General features: G+C 42.0%; 1 protein-coding gene and 1 pseudogene across 5 annotated transcripts in view; one reads left to right on the top strand and one right to left on the bottom strand.

Annotated features, from left to right (window-relative positions):
- Positions 1-22,368, bottom strand: part of ZNF723 (zinc finger protein 723) — a 46,450-nt gene that overhangs the window by 9,282 nt on the left and 14,800 nt on the right. For 4 of the 5 annotated variants that reach the window (XM_047439223.1, XM_024451652.2, XM_047439225.1 and 1 more), the window contains 2 exons: positions 999-1,125; positions 93-188 (listed from right to left, as the gene is read on the bottom strand). In XM_047439223.1, coding sequence (XP_047295179.1) covers positions 93-188; positions 999-1,125 — 223 coding nt within the window. Of the gene's footprint in view, positions 1-92; positions 189-998; positions 1,126-17,003; positions 17,096-22,368 lie in introns of those variants that run through there. The other variant, NM_001349726.2, reaches the window with a different exon arrangement.
- On the top strand, positions 8,465-8,954 carry BNIP3P35 (BCL2 interacting protein 3 pseudogene 35; annotated as a pseudogene).

Here is a 22,368-nt window from a genome sequence, read left to right as displayed (position 1 = left end):
ACAGCTTCCCAAAATCTATTTTAAGGACTGGCTTTCTCCTTGACCTTTGGACGTCTTATCTGTGTTGTCCATTGTGTTCACTCTCCACCTACCTGGGGGCTTGGCTACCATCTTGTGTCTCTTCATATTCCAGGGCTCTTTTCCTTGCTCCAGACAGGTGATTAAATCTGGCTTAGAGACACCAACACCTGTTTTATTAAAAATAAATAACATGAATGTTCCTCATATTCTTCAAATAATGTGCTCAGTAAAGAGAACATAATAGAATATTCTAGTATATTCATCCCAAAACAGTAATTTATAACAGTAATTTCTTAATATTTAGAAAATGGGCTGGCTGCGGTGACTCATGCCTGTAATCCCAGCACTTTGGGAGGCCAAGGAGGGTGGATCACTTGAGGTCAGAAGTTCGAGACCAGCCTGGCCAACATGGTGAAACCCCATCTCTACTAAAAATACAAAAATTAGCTGGGCTTGGTGGCACATGCCTCTACTCCCAGCGACTCAGAAAGCTGAGGCTGGAGAATCTCTTGAACCTGGGAGGTGAGGATTGCAGTGAGCCAAAATCGCACCATTGTACTCCAGCCTGGGCAACAGCAACATTCCATCTCATAAATAAATAAATAAATAAATAAATAAATAAATAAATAAATAAAATAATTTCTCTACCCAGTACCACTGAATCAAAAGCTGGTGGTGACACTTAGATGTTAAGGTGTGGGCAACAATATTTTATGTCACTAAATTTTGAAATGATCGCTAATGGTGAGTAAAAACTACAGGTCTGCTCAGGAATGTGGAAAGTTCAGATCAAGGTGAACTTCAAGATGTTTATCTTGAAGAAATTCTTTTCTACACTGACAAATTCCCAAGCTTTTCTTCAAAACAGTGATGTGAAACTCATTTATGCAAAGCATCAATTACCAAAAAACATTCTACAACACCAAAAAAAGAAACATTTACAGTATCTGAGGATTGTGTATTGAAGTTATTCTCACCCAGGAAGACCAGGTTTCTGTAGTTCTCTAACATCACATCCCTATATAAATTCTGCTGTGCAGTGTCCAGGAATTGCCACTCCTCCAGAGAAAATTTTATTGCCACATCTGTGAATGTCAATGGTCCCTGAAAAAAAAACACACACACACATACACACATATTTACCGGGTGGCCAACGGCAGAATTTTTAATTTGACTGAAGGTGAAATGAGAGAGTAAAGAGAACAGGTTCTGACTTATAGGAATGACTGAAATCCTCCAATAATTTTTTTTTTTTTTTTTTTAAGACAGAGTCTTGCACTTGTTGCCCAGGCTGGAGTACAATGGTGCAATTTCGGCTCACTGCAACCTCTGCCTCCTGGGTTCAAGTGATTCTCTTGCCTCAGTCTCCCAAGTAGCTGGGATTACAAGACACCCACCACCACGCCCAGCTAATTTTTGTATTTTTAGTAGAGATGGGGTTTCATCATATTGGCCAGGCTGGTCTCGAACTCCTGACCTCGGATGATGCATCCGCCTTGGCCTCCCAAAGTGCTGGGATTACAGGTGTGAGACACCACGCCTGGCCGAAAATAATTTTCAACACAGAAATATTCTCTTATGTATTCTCTAATTCTGAAAAAAAGAGTGGAATAAGATCCACAACATCAGTGTATATATGATACTTTTCTGGATAATAAAGTATAAAATTAAAGGCATTAACACAAGCATGTATATTTTTGAGTGCTATATTAACATCATAGAGAATGAGTTCTGTGTATTTTTGAGATGGAAAAGACATGTTGAGTTAGAAGGTACCTAGCAAATTTTAATGTGTACAATAAACTGGAGATCTTGTAATGGAGATTTTTTTTTTTTCCAGAACATCTGGAATAAAGTCTGAGTTTCTGAATTTCTAACAAGCTCACCAATAATGCCAATGATTTTGGCCTAAGAAGAATATTTTATCAAACATCCAGTATATGGAAGAACCTGTGTTTTTTCCAGTTTTTCTGGACTATAAAAGATGAAACTCTTCATTTTCCAAGGACAGATATATGCAAAGAAACTCTAAGAAAGAGCAGCTGCCAAATTAAATTTGATAGTTTACACACATCAGCTGCATAAAGATACTTAATTAAAAAAAAAAAGGCCTTTACAAAAATTAGTCTGGCATGGCGGTGGGCACCTGTAGTCCCAGCAACTTGCAAGGCTGAGGCAGGGGAATTGCTTGAACCTAGGAGGCAGAGGTTGCAGTGAGTCGAGATCACGCCACTACATTCCAAGCTGGGCAACAGAGTGAGGCCCTGTCTCAAAAATAATAATAAAATAAAATAACAAAGAAAAAAATTATAGTAAAAAAAAAAAAAAATCTGTCAGAGAGTGCTTATCCAAGTGAATCATAAACATCAACAGCAGTAGGAAAAATTTGTATGATGTGCTGATACACACATAACACAGCATCACTGCTGAAATATTGTTCCCAAAAAGTAAATTATAGGCTGGTTGGGGGTAGTGGCTCATGCCTGTAATCCCAGCACGGCATCAAGAGCAAAACTCCATCTCAAAAAAAAAAAAAAAAAAAAAAAAAAAAGGAAATTATAGGCTGAATGCAACCATACAGAAACATCAGTTTTATGCAAAATTCAAGATACAGATATTTCCCATTTTCTGTAATTTTTAGTAGTGATTTTAAGGAGTCTTTTTTGAGCACCCTAGAGAGCAGTTATCTCCTGATAATTATCTTTCAAACTTTCTGGGTAATAAATCTCATCATTTTTTCTTGAGACAGAGTCTCATTGTGTCATCCAGGCTGGAGGGCAGTGGCGCAATCTTGCCTCAGTGCAACCTCCACCTCCCGGGTTCAAGCGATTCTCCTGCCTCGGCCTATCAAGTAGCTGGGATTACAGGCATGCGCCACCATGCCTGGCTAATTTTTGTATTTTTAGTAGAGATGAGGTTTCGCCATGTTGGCCAGGCTGCTCTTGAACTCCTGACCTCAGGTGATCCAACCTGCTCAGCCTCCCAAACTGCTGGGATTACAGGTGGGAGCCACCGCACCTGGCCGTCATCTTGTTTAAGTAAGCATTTCCTTAATCCCGTTCTGCATAGTGCTAATGGGGAACACAAATGGAGCCTCAACAGTACCTGTTCTCCATCTTTACTAAGGATACCAGCTTTTCCCCAACAGGAATCTTGAGTATCCCCACCCTCCCATGTTCAACAGCCACAAAGGAAACATTTTTAATACTGCAGATCATAAATTAATGGTGAGAATCCTCCATGGCATATAAAAAGCCATGATGTGGAGAACTTAGAAAAGGCTCTAAAAAGAAATATTGTTCAGAGACCCTTGACTATCAATAAAATTTTCAAAAGTAGTTAAAACAAACTCATTAGGGAGGAAAAACGCAAGAGAAGTAAAGGTTTGCAAGTACTAAATGCATGGAAATCCACGAGGCAGAGTGGACGCAGTTCTTGATCTGAGATGTGTTTAGCTAAAAAAAAAAAAAAAAAAGGCATATTTTTTCCCTATCTCCTCCTTCTCTGGGATTCCTTTTCAGTTGAGATTCTCTGGACAAATTAGACCTGCATCTTGAGAATATGCCTTTAAAGGTGTCAGCACCACCTGTTTACCTGCTACCACCACACCCACAGGCAGAAGTACCAAGACCCGCTGAAAAAGTCCATCCATTTCTGTCCTTTATAACATGAAAAATTCAGGAACAATGAGTTTCCCCATGAAGAAGAAATAAAAGTTTCTCCTTTCCTCTCTTTAGGTGCCCTCCCCTGCTACAGACACCAACAATCTCTGCTACAGTAATAAAAATATGGGCCACACTGCCCTGTCCATACCAAACCCAAACAGAACAGGCCCTATAATCACCCTGTAGTAAACAGGTGAAACTGAACTCTCATGAGTGTATCTTCAACCCCTCATAAGTGATTCTGGCCTCACCTTAGAATCACATGAGGCTCTTAATTAAAACAACATGGATGTGTCCAACAATAAAAAGAACCCGTGGAAAGGGCACGAGCAAAGATATTTCTGTGAATTGGCCATGTAATCTGAGTATCCACATCTAAGTAATCCACATTAATTACAATGGCAGAAACTGTAATAACTTTTGCACCAAACTAATAGAACCCTGGGTTTATAACCACTTAGCTAAGCATTGTCTCTCAAGCTTTAACGAGCTTATAAACCACTCAGTAATTTTAGTCCCTCTTTATGTAATGTGATTCTGCAGGTTTTCAAAGGGTACATGAGTGTTTTTGTTTTGTTTTTGAGACAGAGTCTCGCTCTGTCACCCAGGCTGGAGTGCAGTGGCGTGATATCGGCTCACTGCAACCTCCGCCTCCCGGGTTCATGCCATTCTCCTGCCTCAGCCTCCCAAGTAGCTGGGACTACAGGCGCCTGCCACCATGCCCGGCTAATTTTTTTTCTATTTTTAGTAGAGATGGGGTTTCACCATGTTAGCCAGGATGGTCTCGATCTCCTGACCTCATGATCCACCCGCCTCGGCCTCCCAAATGGGATTACAGGCATGAGCCACCACGCCGGCCATGAATGTGTGTTTTAACTAAGTCCCCTGTCAATGCTGATGATGCTCCCCCTGGGCTCATTATTAGCATTAGAGAAAGCAGGCACAGCACAGAGTCCCTTAAACTCCGTACTCTTTTCACAACACAATTACTTCTGGCACAAATGAAGATAACTAATCTCCATCCTAAAGCATCAAATTCTTTGCTGGTTCTTTAAAGTTTACAGAGGCAATAAAAGGTAGGAGTGCCTGAATAAGCCTACATTTGGAAAACAACATATACACATGTACTAATGCAATGTTTAAGCAGGTACTATGTGCTCAAGAGTATGTTGCAGAGTACTAATACGAATAATACATTATGTGATTTAATCCTCATAACACACTGCGATTTGGTACTAAGTATTTAATAATTCCCAGCATTAGGTTAAGGGCCCAGCACATGTATTTCATCTTCTGTTTCTGTTCTTGGTTTTTTAAAGAAAATGTATACAATAAAAGCTAAATGTAGACAAATTACCTGAATAGAGAAAAGTTTAACGCAGTTTAGAGAAACTTTTATTGTGTTTATATTTTTTTTGTGTGACTAGTGGAGCAACTACTGAATCTGCAGGAATAGAAAACAAGATGCTAAATGGAATCTGCAAGCACTGATTTAATAGAAAATTTAAAAATTAAGACATTAAAATACATACTTTATTTTTCCCTTTATCTCCTTTGGGGTTCAGAAAATTGTAAGTACCAGCTTTAGAAAGGCAGCAGGATTCACCAGCCAAAACTCTCATCTCTTCCAATCAGTTCTGTGAGGCAAGACTCCAGAGTGGGGCCAGATCTAAACAAGACCCCAAATAGAGTGAATCTGAACAGAACTGGGGCAGGGAGTGGACCTTATGTAGAATTCTGTTCTCTGTGCCACTGGCGTATTTCCAGTTCTGCTTTCCTAAACTTGCCTAAGAGAAACTTAAATCTCAGAGTTTGTATAATTTTTTTTAGCCACTGCCCTGTCCATTATATAATGCATACTAATAAGCAATTTAAATAAATGTCTTAAGGTTCTCTAGGGTAATTATTAGAAGATAAATATGTATTCTTAGCAGGTAATAGAAACGCATATAATAATAACAACTCTTCTGTTCATAAATATCCCTTCAGGTGATGACATAAGAAGTCACTACAATATAAAGAAAGGGGCCCAAATAAAGGCAAATTTTTTTGCACACATCTGTTCAATGAATCAACCATATGATGCTTAATTCAACCCTTTATTCAGTTGCTAGTCTAGTCTAAAAGTTCCTGGATGGTTCCTGGATGACTGCTTCATCTATTTTTCTAATCGCCATATAAAATAAAAGCAATTTGTTTATTTGTTTGAGTCTCCAGACATCCTGGTTGTTTTTCACCCAAGTATCTGAAAACTGGAGAAACATTCATCTGGGTACCCACCAAAGTCATTTCTTGTGTAAGGGGAGGAGCAAACACAAGAAGACTCAATTTTTTACACTGAGATAGAAGCAGAATTAACCACTTTTGTTAACCTGGCACAATTCTGCTCTGGACATCCTCAAATGTCTCAAAGACACCCAGCTTATTGTGAGAGTTCCCAGTGACCCTGGGCTGATGGCCCAATGATAAAACAGACAGGAGAGACTCAGGCTAATTCTAAACAAAAAATTAAACTGCCCTGGAGAAGCTCCAGAACCTGGATCACCTGTCCTGATTATCCAGCTCTTAGGTAAGAGGAAGAACAGGAATATTCTACTCCAGTCCCACATTTTAGGGACAGGTGTAGTTGTGGTTATGGCTCTGGATACATTATCACCTTTCTATAACTCTGAAGATGCTTGTTCACACTTACGTATTCTGCCATCAGATTCTATTTATACCTGGTGGCCCTCACATAACTGTAGCAGGTCACTGGACAAGATCTGAGAAGCTGAAAGAATCACATTCTCAAAGAGGAACTTTAAGATGTCTATGTTGACATCTGACAATGCATAAAATGTCTAGTTAGTTTTCTCTACATTCTCAATTCAAAGTCTGGCCTTATCTTGTAAATTCCAGGAAGAGAACAGACCTTATTTGCAGATTCTAGGTGGGATCAACCTGGCTCTTCATTCTTGGGTGTTACAGCAAGCAGAGTACAATCAAAGGAAAGATCACCTTATAGAGGCTGCTTTAGCACATTCTGAAAGATATGTCTACCTAAAAGAAAAAAAGCTAAGGCAACATGAATGTAAGTAGACCGTTTATTTGGGCAAAGCTTGAGGATTGTAACCTGGGAGCAAACCTTCAAGTTGCCTGTCATCTACACTTTGATTAGGAGCAGTTACAAGTTGATCTGAAAAGGCAAAAAGAGAGGGAGAGAGAGATGGCTGATACAAAGTTGTTTACCAGAAATTTTTATTATATTTACAGAAATGACATTGATTATTGATTGGATATACATCATTAAAATTTAGAGTATGGGTTATAGTGTCCAGTGTGGCATTATTAATTTATAGCTACTAGTGGCAACAGTTAACAGTTTTAAGAGATTAAAAAAAACTCTTAGTTCAGGACCAGGCGCAGTGGCTCATGCCTGTAATTTTCCAGCACTTTGGAAGGCCGAGGCGGGTCGATCACCTGAGGTCAAGAGTTCAACACCAGCCTGGCCAACACAGTGAAACCCCTTCTTTACTAAAAATACAAAAATTAGCCAGCTGTTATGGCACATGCCTGTAATCCCAGCTACTTGGGAAGCTGAGGCAGGAGAATCGCTTGAACCTAGGAGGTGGAGGTTCCAGTGAGCAAAGATTGCGTCACTGCACTCTGGCCTTGGGGACAGACCAAGACTGTCTCAAAACAACAACAACAACAACAAAACATAGTTCAAAGGTGGGAGAAAGACAAAATTGTGTTCTCATTTTAATGTCTCTCTGAGTTTGACAACTAAAAGGACTTGCATTCCTCAGATGAAAGGTTTGTTTTTTTCTTTTTTTTTGGTTCCCAGATCTCAAGACCTAGATTCAGAATTTGGATCTGCAGCAGGTGTTACTTGCATATTTGTGGGTATTTTAGCAATAGGAGGAAGGGGAGAGTGGAGATTCTCATGTCTACATGTCTACTCAACACTCACATGTTACTCTGATTGGGTTTCTGGTCCCCCTGGTCTCTGAATCAGTTTCAGGTCTGAAGACACAACAGTCACTAAAAGAGGTGAAATGGTTGATTGCTACCCTGTGAAGTTTGTAGAAATCTGTGAGTTGACTGGAAGCCTGAGAGGAAGTCTCCTCTAGAGTAAAGCTTGGTTGGCATCTTATGAGTTTATATAATGTCTGGTAATTCTAGACAGTGTGTGGAAAATATAATTAAAAGAAAAATTTTCTCCAGCCCCAGAAAAACTCCAAAATGATAGAACAGAAAGAAAACTGTTTTATTACACAATTTAACCTGAATGTGACACGCATCACAGTCAATCTGCTCAAGAGATCGTCAAGCCAGAAAGACAGTCACCACAGTTAGTCCACAAGTGGAAAAATTTACAGCACCATGTCATATGTAGTTCATCCTAAATTCACCTGGCAATTGGCAAGGCCATCGGTGTAAGCTTATTGGTTATATTCAATGACAAAATAAACTTTTCACATCTTCATAACAGGAGGTTAATTCTGCAACATGAAGCCAAGTGCCTGCTGAAGGTAGGCTCCCACTCTCCTACAGAAATGGCTGAATAGGGTGTTATCTTTTTGGCTATTTATATTTTAAAGCAATGGCTCTTTAACTCCTTTAGCACTGGGCTAGAGCACCCTGCTTGCCCTCTCCTGATGGCCATGTCCTCTCTTGACGCCTACTATCTGCCATTGACACACAGCCCACAACACAAAGCTCATAGCTGGCAGCTCACATCTTACATGAACCCCAATTGCCACAGCAGCACTCCAGTGTCACATCAGACAATGAAGCCTGAGCTGCAGGAGGAGAGCCTGCAGGCCTCCTGGGTGAAACTGCACCTTCACGATAATGGGAATGGGAGCAGTGTTTCAGCCTCAGCTTCTATTTAAAATGGTGACATGAAAAAAGTACTGCTGGATTTCCAGCATGAGTCCGGATAGAGATAGGTCTAAGTTCTCCCTGTGACAGCCCACCTCATTCACAGATATCATGGGATACTAATAGGGCTTCTGAAACAGAAACCCAAAGAATTCACGCAAAAAACAGCTCTCCATCTGAGCAAGATTATATCAAGAGAAAATAAAAAGTTAAAAGCATCTTTAAAAACAAAACTCAGATTAGATATAATATTGATCAAGTCCACCAGAAAATATTCCTCTAAAAAAATATTTCTCTTTAAATACCCAAAGTGCACAACTATTCTCAGCGTGAGAAACATGAGCGTTATAAAGAAACGGGACAGGCCAGTTGCGGTGGCTCATACCTGTAATCCCAGCACTTTGGGATGCTGAGGCAGGTGGATCACCTGAGGTTAGGAGTTCGAGACCAGTCTGACCAACATGGTGAAACCCTGCCTATACTAAAAATACAAAATTAGCCAGGCATGGTGGCGCATGCCTGTTATCCCAGCTTCTTGGGAGGCTGAGGCAGGAGAATCACTTGAACCCAGGAGGCGGAGATTGCAGTGAGCCCAGATCATGCCATTGCACTCCAGCCTGGGCAATGAGCGAAACTCCGTCTCAAAAAAAAAGAAAAAAGAAAATATTAAAAACAATTGCAACAAAAGCAAAAATTGACAAATGAGACCTAACTAAACCAAAGAGCTTCTTCACAGCAAAGGAAACTATCAACAGAGTAAACAGACAACCTACAGAATAGAATAATATGTTTGCAAACTATGCTGCTGACAAACAACTAATATCCACAATCCATAAAATACTTAAATAAATTTACAAGGAAAAACAAACAACCTTATTAAAAAGGAAGCAAAGAAGATGAACGGATGCTTTTCAAAAGGAGGCATACGTGTGGCTAACAAGCATATGAAAAAAAATACTCATCATTAATTAGAGAAATGCAAAGAAAATACACAATGAGATACCTTCTCACACAAGCCAAAATGGCTATAATTAAAACATCAAAAAATTACAGATGCAGGGCCAAGCGCAGTGGCTCATGCCTGTAATCCTAGCACTTTGGGAGGCCGAGATGGGTGGATCACTTGAGGCCGGGAGTTCGAGAGCAGCCTGGACAACATGGTGAAACCCCATCTCTACTAAAAATAAAAAATATTAGCCAGGCATGGTGGCAAATGCCTGTAATCCCAGCTGTTCAGGAGGCTGAGACATGAGAATCGCTTGAACCTGGGAAGCAGGAGGTGGAGACTGCAATCAGCTGAGATCATGCCACTGCACTCCAGCCTGGGCAACAGAGTGAGACTCTGTCTCAAAAAAAAAAAAAAAAAACCAAAAAAAAACATGCTGGCAAGGTTGTGGAGATAAAGGAGTACTTATACGCTGCTGGTGGGAGTGTAAATTAGTTCAGCCATTGTGAAAAGCAGTTTGGTGATTCCTCAGAGAACTAAAAACAGAATTAGCATTTGACCCAGCACCCTCATAAATGGGTATATGCCCAAAGAAATATAAGTTATTCTGCCATAAAAACACATGCACATTCATGGTCACTGCAGAACTATTCACAATAGCACAGACATGGAATCAACCTGAATCCTTATCAATGGTAAACTGGATAAAGAAAATATAATACAGAAGGGCGGTGGCTCATGCCTGTAATCACAGCAATTTAAGAGGCCGAGGCAGGCAGACTGCCTGAGTTCAAGAGTTTGTGAACAGCCAAGGCAACATGAAGAAACCCCATTTCTAGAAGGCCGGGCGTGGTGGCTCATGCCCGTAATCCCAGCATTTTGGGAGGCCGAGGAGGGCAGATCACCTAAGGTAAGGAGTTCGAGACCAGCCTGGCCAACATGGAGAAACCCTGTCTCTACTAAAAATACAAAATTAGCCAGGCATAGTGGCGCATGCCTGTAAGCCCAGCTACTCAGGAGGCTGAGGCAAGAGAATCACTTGAACCCAGGAGGCAGAGGTTGCGGTGAGCAGAGATCATGCCATTGCACTCCAGCTTGGGCAACAAGAGTGAAACTCCATCTCAAAAAATAATAATAATAAAATAAGAAGAAAATAAAGTAGAATATTTATATAAAAAGAAAAATATAGTATATAAATATCATGGAATACTGTGTGGCCATAAAAAAGAACAAGATCATGTTTTTTGCAGCAACATGGATGAAACTATGACCCATTATCCTTAGAAAACTAATGCTGAAAGACAAAAGCAAATGCATGTTCTTTTTTTTTCTTTTTGAGACAGAGTCTAGCTTTGTCGACCGGGCTGGAATGCAATGGCTAGATCTCAGCTCACCACAACCTCCGCCTCCCGGGTCCAAGCAATTCTCCTGCCTCAGCCTCCTGAGTAGCTGGGATTACAGGCGTGTGCCACCACGCCCGGCTAATTTTTGTGTTTTTAGTAGAGACGGGGTTTCACCATGTTGGTCAGGCTGGTCTCAAACTCCTGACCTCGTGATCCACTCGCCTCAGCCTCCCAAAGTGCTGGGATTACAAGTGTGAGCCACCGTGCCCGGCTCCATGTTCTCATTTCTAAGTAAGAGCTAAATAATAACAACACATGGACACAAAGGGGAAAACAACAGACACTGAGGCCTACCTGGGGGTGGAGAGTGGGAGAACAAAGAAGATTAAAAAACAAAAATCTGTTTGGTGTTATGCTTAGTACCTCAGTGACAAAATAATTTACATCAAACTTCCATGACACAATTTTACCTATATAGTAAACCTGCACGTGTACCCCTAAAACAAAAATAAGAGTTAAGAGAAAGGAACTCAATGGGTGGAGAAGAGTGCAGTGTAGGCAGGACTGGCTTGTGCTACTTATTTCTGGGTCCATGCAGGCAGGTGAGATTATGAACAGGTGGCCCAGAACCCCAAGTTGGTGGAGAAAAGAGGTTGCTGCTGCAGATTCAGTGTCTGGGGGTAGGGATATGCCAAAAATTTGTAGACAATTTTGTGGGATTTTGGCAAAAAACACTAGGATCAAAAATGCCATGGTTAAATTTTTGAGGGTGGTGCCTAGTCCTGGAAGGGCTGTGCACATGTCAATGTCCAGTGGGCATGACTGTGAGTGGGTGGGAATCCTGTGGTGGCAGCTGTGGAAAAATGGGGTCTGTCATCAGAACTCCTTTTCTCTAAGTTTTCAGTCCTCTCTCACCCTAAGAGGAGATCTGGAATCACAGAACAATGAGCAGTGTGACGGCCTGTGTACAGGAAAGCAGAGCCTCTCCTTCCCACACGCCCAGAGTTTTATTCCAGGCCAGGCCTCCATGATATTTTTTCTGGCACCAAATTGTTTGTTAACACCAAACAATTCTTCAACACCAACTCACTGTCTAACATTTGAATTCTGAAACCACCCAGAGTCAGCACAGACCTTGGTTCAGGGCTCAGTCCCACAATATTGTCCTTATTGCAGATGCCAGTCACAAACTCCATGGGCCCATCTACATTTCTTCCTTTCTTTCTTTCTTTCTTTTCTTTTTTCTTTCTTTCTTTTTTTTTTTTTTTAAGCCAGAGTCTCGCTCTGTAGCCCAGGCTGGAGTGCAGTGGCACAATCTCTGCCTCCAGGGTTCAAGTGATTCTCCTGCCTCAGCTTCCCAAGTAGCTGGGATTACAGCCACACACCACCACGCCCAGCTAATTTTTGTATTTTTAGTAGAGACAGGGTTTCACCATGTTGGCCAGGCTCGTCTTGAATTCCTGACTTCAAGGGATCTGCCCACCTCAGCCTCCCAAAATGCTAGGATTACAGGCATGAGTAATCGTGCCATCCCCATCTGTGTTTCTGAGCTACTGTTTAAAAACTGGGGACTTCCATAATCTCCCTCAAGTTCAATAACTTGATAGAGCTACTCACAGACCTCAGCAAAACACTGCAGTTATGCTGACCAGTTTATAATAAAAGATACAACCCAGGAAATGTCAAATGGAAGAAAGATGAAGCATAAAGATAATCCTGGTAAATAGCTATAATAAATAAAATTCTCTATCCTTTTTGTGCTTACCTATCACAGCCAGACATAGACTCTGCAAATCTTTTTCTCATAGAAAAATTGGCTGAATTTGTCTTCAGTGGTCAAAATAGAATACTTGTTAATCAAACTTCACTTAAGTTTATCTTCTTCCCACAGCTCCTGAACTTTGAGCTATTCTCAGTCTGAGCCAAAATAAACCCAATTTTATGTCCCTTCTAAGAACATGCTGACTTCAGGATAAAATATTCTGTGATCTAGAATCTGATTTTTCACCCTCCATTTGCCATTCCCCTACCACCTTCTTTCTAATCTTATTTGCTCCTTCCTATGGAAGAAAGCCCTTGTCTGCCTATCCTTTGCAATCCTTAAATATCTTATGGTTGGTACTTCCTCCTGCTGCAATACTCCTTTAGAATTTAATTTTTTTTTACATAAATCTGACTTTGTTTTATTTCTAAAAGTCTAGAAACTGCCTCAAAGCAAGAATAACTTTATCTTCAGTGAGATCCTTTCAGTCCCATTCCATCTTAACCTTAACTGCGTCTGCCTGAGGGTCCCCAGCTTTCCAGGGCTGTGTAGCTTCTCTCGGAATAAAAGCTTCTTCCATGGCTAGGGTGAGCAGGCTGGGAAATCTGCAGCGGAGGCTCCCCAGGAAGAACTAACGGTGCCTTTAATAACCTCCTTTTGCAGGCTCAATATTAGCCTTAGCTTGGAGTCCCTGGGCTCAAGCTTCAATTTTTATGTCAGTTATTTACTCAGTTTTTAAAACTAAAACATCTAGCAAAATTACTGAAACACAGTGTTCATATGAAGGAAAAAAATTTTAAGGTGCTTACATTTCATACCTCAACAAGAAAACCCAAAGTATCTATTCCTTTCAGACAATAAATGTATTATTTTATTATTTGCATTAAAAATTATGTAGTAAACAATCATATGGGAACATTCCTAAGAGGTACCAAGTTTCATCTTGTAATATTTAGCATTAAAATCAGAAATCAAGATCACAGGCTATAGAACAAAAATATTCACTGTCAGAAATTTACCATACAGAAAGAAAAACTGTTGTTTTCATGAATCTATGCAACTCACCAATTATCTACCACATTTTCTTGTGGAAATGTATTTATTTTCTACAGCCAAAATAAAAGAGAGATTTCCCTATTATTTGCCTTGATAGCATTACAAAATCTAAGCCTTGGAATTCTGTTTGAAATTACCCATAAAAACACACCTGAGAAGTTTCCTAAACTCATTCTGGGAAAAACAAACAAAAACAAACAAACAAAAAAAACGGTAAATGCGAACTCTTAACAAATGGAATATATTTTGAAACTCACCTCTTTTATGCCCTTTGTAAACATTTTCTTTTTAACCTTTCAAGCTCTACTAATAAAATGCAATTTTCAGTTAAGAAACTGAAGTCAATATAAGCAAACAAATCTTTTCAAGGTGGCAAACCCAGGGATTACAGGCGTGGTGGCTCACGCCTGTAATCCCAACACTTTGGGAGGCTGAAGCGGGTGGATTACCTGAGGTCAGGAGTTCAGGACCAGCCTGGCCAACGTGGTGAAACCCCGTCTCTGCTAAAAAATACAAAAATTAGCTGGGTGTGGTGGCAGGCGCCTGTAATCCCAGCTACTCCGGAGGCTTAGAAAGGATAACTGCTTGAACCCGGAAGGCAGAGGATACAGTAAGCCTGGGTGACAAGAGAGAAACTCCATCTCAAAAAAAAAAAAACAACCAACAAACAAAAAAAATCACACACACAGATGTGTCTCAGTCATGTGTCAAGTCAGGTCATCCAATCACTTAGATTCTCCCACCCCACCCTGCTCAGTTAAATGCTCAATGACCCCCTCTGAGGAGACACTGCACTATGCCCCAGTGAGTGCCTCAAGTGCAGTTTACTTTGCAAATTCTTGCACTTTCTCACTGGGGTCAGGTTTTTTTTCCTGTCTTTGGGGATACTATTTTTTTTTCACAAATCTTAGAGAATCCAGGTGGCAGAAATTATTTCTGTTTTGCTCTCAGTACCAGCATCTGATTGGCTGACCAGCAATGTGTCTCCAAGAAATGGAAGATGGGTTAGGTGAAGACAATCTTAATGTCTAAATGTCAGCTTTTCAAAGGAAGAATATGCCAGGAGATGCCTCTCAGCCCCAGGGCATCAACTTCCTCCCTGGAGAGGCTACACTCCATACCTCAGGTTGTCCTATGGCAGAAAACGACCCAGGAGCGGATATTACCTAGACACTGTAGCAGACATAGACACAGTATCTTCGTTTATTCACAGAGAGTACTAAAATCCAGAAGGAGAAAAACACTAAATGGTGACTGCGGACACAAAACCCCATAAAGTTTCCAAAAAAAAAAAATTACCCCAAAACGTTCTCATAAGATCTCTGTGCCTAGGGAAGATAAAGAGAAAGACACACAAAGATTTATTTACAGTACATTGCAAGGGGATTATTCTTTGCTTTCTTCTAAAGGAAAAGACTTAAAAATAGAAAACGAATCTCTTTAAATGTTCCATCCAATGCGCTGTAAAAAAAAAAAGATTAATTAAAATACATTATCAAGAATGTACACCAGGCTGGGCGCAGTGGCTCATGCCTGCAATCCCAGCACTTTGGGAGGCTAAGGCGGGCAGATCACCTGAAGTCAGGTGTTCGATACCAGCCTGGCCAACATGGTGAAACCCCGTCTCCACTAAAAATACAAAAATTAGCCGGGCGTGGTGGTGTATGCTTCTAATCCCAGCTACCTAGGAGGCTGAGGCAGGAAAATCACTTGAGCCTGGGAGGCGGAGGTTGCGGTGAGCCACAGTACTCCAGCCTGAGCAACAGAAGGAGACTCGGAAAAAAAAAAAAAAAAAAAAAAGTACGCTAAAAAACAAATAGCGGCCGGGCGCGGTGTCTCACGCCTGTAATCCCAGCACTTTAGGAGGTCGAGGCGGGTGGATCACCTGAGGTCAGGAGTTCAAGACCAGCCTGCCCAACATGGTCTCTACAAAACCCCGTCTCTACAAAAAATAGCCAGGCGTGGTGGCACGTGCCTATAATCCAGCTACTCGGGAGGCTGAGGCAGGAGAATCGCTTGAACCCGGGAGGTGGAGGTTGCAGTGAGCCGAGATCATGCCATTGCACTCCAGCCTGGGCAACAGAGTGAGACTCTGTTTCAAAAAAGAAAAAAAAAATTAATAATCTTTATTACGGAGGAAAAGTTAGCGTTTGGAATTGTCAGAAGGAGCTGGAAATTTAGTATTTTACTTTAAGCCACAGTTAGGCTAGAGTAAAGGAGGATTGGGGGGTACATTTGAGACCCTTCTTGAAAAACATGTGAAAAATGCAGGGCATAGCCAGAAGCGGTGGCTCACGCCTGTACTCCCAGCACTTTGGGAGGCCGAGGCGGGCGGATCACGAGGTCAGGAGTTTGAAACCATCCTGGCCAACATGGTGAAACCCCGTCTCTACCAAAAATACAAAAATTAGCCGGCCGTGGTGGCAGGCGCCTGTAATCCCAGCTACTCAAGAAGCTGAGACAGGAGAATCGCTTGAAACAGGAAGGCGGAGACTGCAGTGAGCCGAGATTGCGCCACGGTACTCCAGTCTAGGCGAAAGAGTGAAATTCCGTCTCAAAAAAAGAAAAAAAAGAAAATAGTTAAGTGATATGGAATTAGGCTGAGGTGGAAATCTACTCTCTGGATTCCTACTTAAAAAAAAAATCTAACTCAAATGCATTTATTTATTTTTAAAAAATTACTACATTAGAGGAAACGAAATTCAGTCTTAACCAAATATAAACAGCTAATTAAGCTCTGATTACATAATCAGGAAATTTGTAGGCTCAAGGTGGAAATTAGGAAACTACGTAACTGTGCCTGATTACAGAATTTGGGTTTTTTCATCATGCATCTTATAAAAGTCTTTTCTTCAAGCCCCTCTAATGGACCACAAACTACAACCCATAGGGGTGCTCTATAATTTTTGAACAACTCTTTAAATTCTTTAATATTTTTGCGATGACTCCCATAAATATTTCAGAGAAAAGATGAACTAGGAACCCCACGGACCAAAGCTGCTCCCATTCAGGAACTCCTCACCCGAGTCAGGATTCTCCCCTGACGACCCTCCCCTGGTCCCTGCACAATCTGGGAGAGACTCGGCGCTGCGGGTGCAGAGCTGCCCAGAGAGGGCTCCAGGCCAGGGCACGGTCACTGCCAGGGAAGAGACAAGACGCTCGGGCCCGGCTGTCAGTACAGCCGCCATCTTATCGCTGAAGGTGTCTGAGGCCGGGCCAGGCTAGAACTCCGAGCGCAGATTGTGGGGCTGACAGCAGGGAGGCCTGAGTCCCGCCACAGCCACTTCCCACCGGTTCCAACCAGCCCTTCCCCTCTCTCGGGATGTCGGACCCGGTACTCTCACCATTTCTAGGCTTCCAGGGAGTCCTGGCGTCTTAGCTGTGGATCTCCCAATGCATGTAGGTCAGGAGGCCACAGAGACCAGGAACTCAAAAGGCCGCGCCAAATCCCGGAAGCCGCCCTGTCCGCTCTAGCTGCGGGTCTGATTGGACGGCTCTTAGTCAAGCATCCCTGAATGGATGCCGTTTAAGGCCCCGCCCATTCAGGCCTGGAGTGACAGAAGATGTGATCAGATGCTGGGTTCAATGAAGAAAGAGTGACAGCCTAAGCTGTGGCGTTTTCAGGCAGGGCTTCCTCCCTGAAATGAGCCAGGCCCACCTCAGAGGGGATTTGCCATTAACTTTGTTTGAATATGGCTATTCACAAAGGAAAAGAATATAATAACAGCTATTTTAAAATTTCGGCTTTTATGACCTTCCTGGCTTCAGTTCTTTAAAGAGGCAGCCTAAGATTTTATTTATTTATTATTTTTTTTTTTGAGACAGAGTCTCGCTCTTGTCGCCCAGGATGGAGTGCCGTGGCACGATCTCGGCTCACTGCAACCTCTGCCTTCCGGGTTCAAGCGATTCTTCTGCCTCAGCCTCCTGAGTAGCTGGGATTACAGGCGCCTGCCACCATGCCCGGCTAATTTTTGGACTTTTAGTAGAGACGGGGTTTCACCCTGTTGGCCAGACTGGTCTCAAACTCCTGACAGGTGATCCGCCCGCCTCGGCTTCCCAAAGTGCTGGGATTACAGGCGTGAGCCATCGCGCCCGGCCAAGATTTTTTTTAAAAAGGCAATCTTCTGAAATAAAATGTGAGCCACATGTGAATTTTAATTTTTTTTTTTTGATACGGAGTCTCGCTCTGTTGCCCAGGTTGGAGTGCATTCAAACAGTCTCGCCTCACTGCAACCTCCGCCTCCCAGTCTCAAGTGATTGTCCTGCCTCAGCCTCCTGGGTAGCTTGGATTACAGGCATCCGCCACCACACCCAGCTAATTTTTATATTCTTATTAAAGACAAGGTTTCACCATGTTGGGCACGCTGGTCTCGAACTCCTGACCTCAGGTGATCCGCCCGCCTCGGCCTCCCAAAATACTGGGATTGCAGGAGTGAGTCACTGCACCCGGCCATTGCCAAACTTTAAAAAGAAAAAGGTAGTATTCAAGACCATTTCAGCCCTTCACCAAACTAGCACACTGTCGGTTCTCAGGTTTCTACTGTCCTGAGCAAACAAGGTCAGCCAGATTTAAGCTTTGTAAAACAGATTCTGTATCTCAATGGGAGCAGCTGTAAAAGCATCTGGCAATGGGCATGGATATAGGAGGGGTGAAAAATTGCTATGGCCGGGCACGGTGGCTCACGCCTGTCATCCCAGCACTCTGGGAGGCCGAGGTAGGTGAATCACCTGAGGTCAGGAGTTCAAGACCAGCCTGGCCAACATGGCGAAACCCTGTCTCTAAGAAAAATACAAAAATTAGCCGGACATGGTGGTGCGCACCTATAATCCCAGCTACTCAGGAGGCTGAGGCAGGAGAATTGCTTCAACCCAGGAGGCAGAGGTTGCAGTGAGCCAAGATCGCACCACTGCACTCCAGCCTAGGCGACAGAATGAGACTCCATCTCAAAAAGAAAAAGAAAAAAAGAAAAATTGCTGCAATTTTTACAATCAATATTATTCTGCCTTTTTTGCATATGTGGTTTATACAACTCTTTTACATCAAGAAACTTGTCCAAAGACCCACACCTACTAAGTGGCTGGGCTGAAACTCAGAATAAACTGAATTTGTTGATCAATGCTGCCCCATAGATGGGGCTTCTGCAGACCCATGAAATACTGGAGAATTATACTTTTACACTAGAAGCTGGATTTTTTTTTTTTAGATTTGTGCCTGTGTAGTACTCTTTATTATTGAGAATAGTCCTGTCAAGAAATTGCAGAAGCACACGGCGCCTCACACTTGTAATCCTAGCACTTTGGGAGGCTGAGTTGAAAGAATCACTTGGGTTCAGGAGTTCAAGTACAGCCTGGGCAACATAGTAAGATCCTATGTCTATGAAAACAATTTTTAAAAATTAGCCAGGCATGATGTTGCCTGCCTGTAGTCCCAGGTTACTGAACCAGGAGGATTGTGTGAGCCAAGACAATTAAGGCTACAATGAGAAATAATTGGTTACACCACCACACTCTAGCCAGGATAAAAGAGTGAGACACTGTCTCAAAAAAAATTGCAGGAGCATTTTGAACAGACATAGGATAATTTGAAAGAAAAGCTGAGAGATAAGCTTAAAAAGTCAAAGCCCAAGAATATTATTTATTTTTCATCATAGACATAATTTCAAAACTTGTAAAAGAAAAAAAAAACTTTAGAGAAATTAAATTTAACAGGCTTAAACTGAGCAAAAAATGATTTGCAAATCAGATACCCTGTGGATCCAGAGTAGGCTCAGAGATACTCCAGCATAGCTACATGGTGGAAAAAGCAAAGTGGCATACAGAAAATTCAAGGATGTACAGAAAGAGCCATATTGATTACAGCTTAGAATTTGCCTTATTTGAACGTGATTTGAACAGTTGACATTCTTATATTTGCCAATACAATGTGGCTGGTACAAGAATGGGTACAGTCTATTTATTTATCAAGTTAGGTTTCAGTTTAGTATGAAAAAAAACCTATCAAAAAAATTAAACATGAAAGTGGCAGCATTAGAATATAATTAATTTAACAATTTCTCCCTTTTGGTCATCTTCTCAATTTTGAGAGATATATCAAAACTTTAGATATTGATATCACTCTGTTGTCATCAAAAATGTACTTATTGGCCGGGCGTGGTTGTTCACGCCTGTAATCCCAGCACTTTGGAAGGCCGAGGCAGACAGATCACCTGAGGTCAGGAGTTCAAGACCAGCCTGGCCAACATGGTAAAACTCTGTCTCTACAAAAATACAAAAATTAGCCGGGCATGATAGCAGGTGCCTGTAATCCCAGCTACGCCAGAAGCTGAGGCAGGATAATCACTTGAACCCAGGAGGCAGATGTTGTAGTGCACGGAAATCTCGCCGCTGCACTCCAGTCTGGGCCACAGAGCAAGACGGCATCTCAAAAAAAAAAAAAAGAGTACTTACGTAGTGTCAAATCCTACTGTAAAATAGCAGAACTGTGTTTTTTTTTTTTTTAAGTAGAAACATGGGCTTCCGGTTATTTTATTATGTTTGTTTGTTTGTTTATTACTGAGATGAAGTTTCACTCTGTCACCCAGGCTGGAGTGCAAGGGCGCAATCTCAGCTCACTGCAACCTCCTCCTCCCAGGTTCAAACGATTCTCCTGCCTTAGCCTCCCAAGTAGCTGTGATTACAGGTGCCTGCCACCATGCCTGGCTAATTTTTGTATTTTTAGTAGCGATGGAGTTTCACCATGTTGGCCAGACTGGTCTTGAACTCCTGACCTCAAGTGATCCACCCACCTCAGCCTCCCAAAGTGTTAGTATTACAGGTGTGAGCCACCGTGTCTGGCCTATTATTTATTTTTTAAAGGATTAGAAGGGGCTTCCTTGTGTTGAAATCTGCTGTTTCCAGAAGAAAAATATAAACCTGGCCTGTTTTAGGATCTACCTATTTTCTTCAATTTTCAGTTGGATTATGTCACATTTAGCACAGGTGACTCATTTTGGTTTGGTTTGGTCTGTTTGGAACTAGTGTACAAGCTCAGTTTAGAACGATGGCCTCCAATAACTTTGTTTTGTTTTGTTTTTTTGAGAGGGAGTCTCGCTCTGTCACCAGGCTGGAGTGGAATAGCACAATCTCAGCTCACAGCAACCTCTGCCTCCTGGGTTCAAGCGATTCTCTTGCCACAGCCCCCTGAGTAGCTGGGATTACAGGCACGCGCCACCAAACCCAGCTAATTTTTGTATTTTTAGTAGACATGGGGTTTCACCTTGTTGGCCATGATGGTCTCCATCTCCTGACCTTGTGATCTGCCCGCCCCGGCGTCCCAAAGTTCTGGGATTACAGACGTGAGCCACCACCCCCCGCCAACTTTGTTTTTTAAAACCCTGGCTTTTTGGTGAAGTTCTTACGTAGGTCAGAGTGTGACCAAAACTCTAGGCCTTAGTGGCACTCTCAATTTCCATTATTTCGGGTTTTTGTCCTTATAATGTTATTCACAGGTTATGGTGTCTTCATAGTCACATATGTCTTTGAGTTTCTGTCAGGCCAGTCAACAAGAGACTATTTAACATTCTAGAGATGACTGCATGCAAACATTTATAATTTTTGAGAGAATACGGTGCAGTAGGGATACTACAATTTTATTCATTTATTTTTTTTAGATGGAGTTTCACTCTTGTTGCCCTGGCTGGAGTGCAAAGTCACAATCTCAGCTCACTGCAACATCCGCCTCCCGGGTTCAAGTGATTCTCCTGCCTCAGCCTCCTGAGTAGCTGAGATTACAGGCATGTGCCACCACACCCAGCTAATTTTATTTTTGTATTTTTAGTAGAGATGGGGTTTCTCCATTTTGGTCAGGCTGGTCTCGAACTCACGACCTCAGGTGATCCACCCACCTCAACCTCCCAAAGTGCTAGGATTACAGGTGTGAGCCACCACGCCCGGCCTGGGAGACTACTATTTTGACTAGCAGGAGAATAATGCCAAAAGTTGAAACAGGCCAGGCACGGTGGCCTGTTTCCTAACACTTTGGGAGGCCGAGGCAGGCAGATTACCTGAGGTCAGGAGTTCAAGACCAGCCTGGCCAACATGGTGAAATTCTGTCTCTACTAAAAATACTAAAAATTAACCATGTGCAGTAATGCGTACCTATAATCCCAGCCACTCTGGAGGCTGAGGCAGGAGAATCACTTGAACCCAGGAGGTGGAGGTTGTGGTAAGCCAAGATCATGCCACTGCTCTCCAGCCTGAGCTACAGAGCAAGACTTTGTCTCAAACAAACAAACAAACAAACAAAAAAACAAAAAAAAAAAATAGTTGAAACCATGCTTCTTAGCCAAGGTCCCCATGAACAACCAACTAAAATCCAATAGATTAAATAATTAGCTAGATAATGATCTACTCATTTCAACCAAGCAGCCTGTTCATTAATCCCCTACAACTGCATCTCTGTAATACACAATGTATTCTACCATGTGCAACTACAAGTATTAGCAATTACACAAGTAGTTCTCTGTTTATCCAGTAAGTAATCAAAAGAAATTCTATTATTTAGCACAACTTTAGTTAGAACATTTAATACCTATTGTGTAACCACAGCCTTTACATTAGAATCTGCTATACAGCCCTATTTTGGGGGATAAATTCCTAACCATTGCTTCATTTATGCTAAGCCATGGAAAAAATGATCTAACAAATGATGCCCATTCAGAAGAGTAATGG

This window comes from Homo sapiens, chromosome 19 (genome assembly GCF_000001405.40).
Source record: "Homo sapiens chromosome 19, GRCh38.p14 Primary Assembly".
In the NCBI taxonomy this organism is placed as follows: domain Eukaryota; kingdom Metazoa; phylum Chordata; class Mammalia; order Primates; family Hominidae; genus Homo; species Homo sapiens.
Note: the sequence above shows the minus strand (reverse complement) of the source record. Positions and strands in the feature narration are given on the sequence as shown.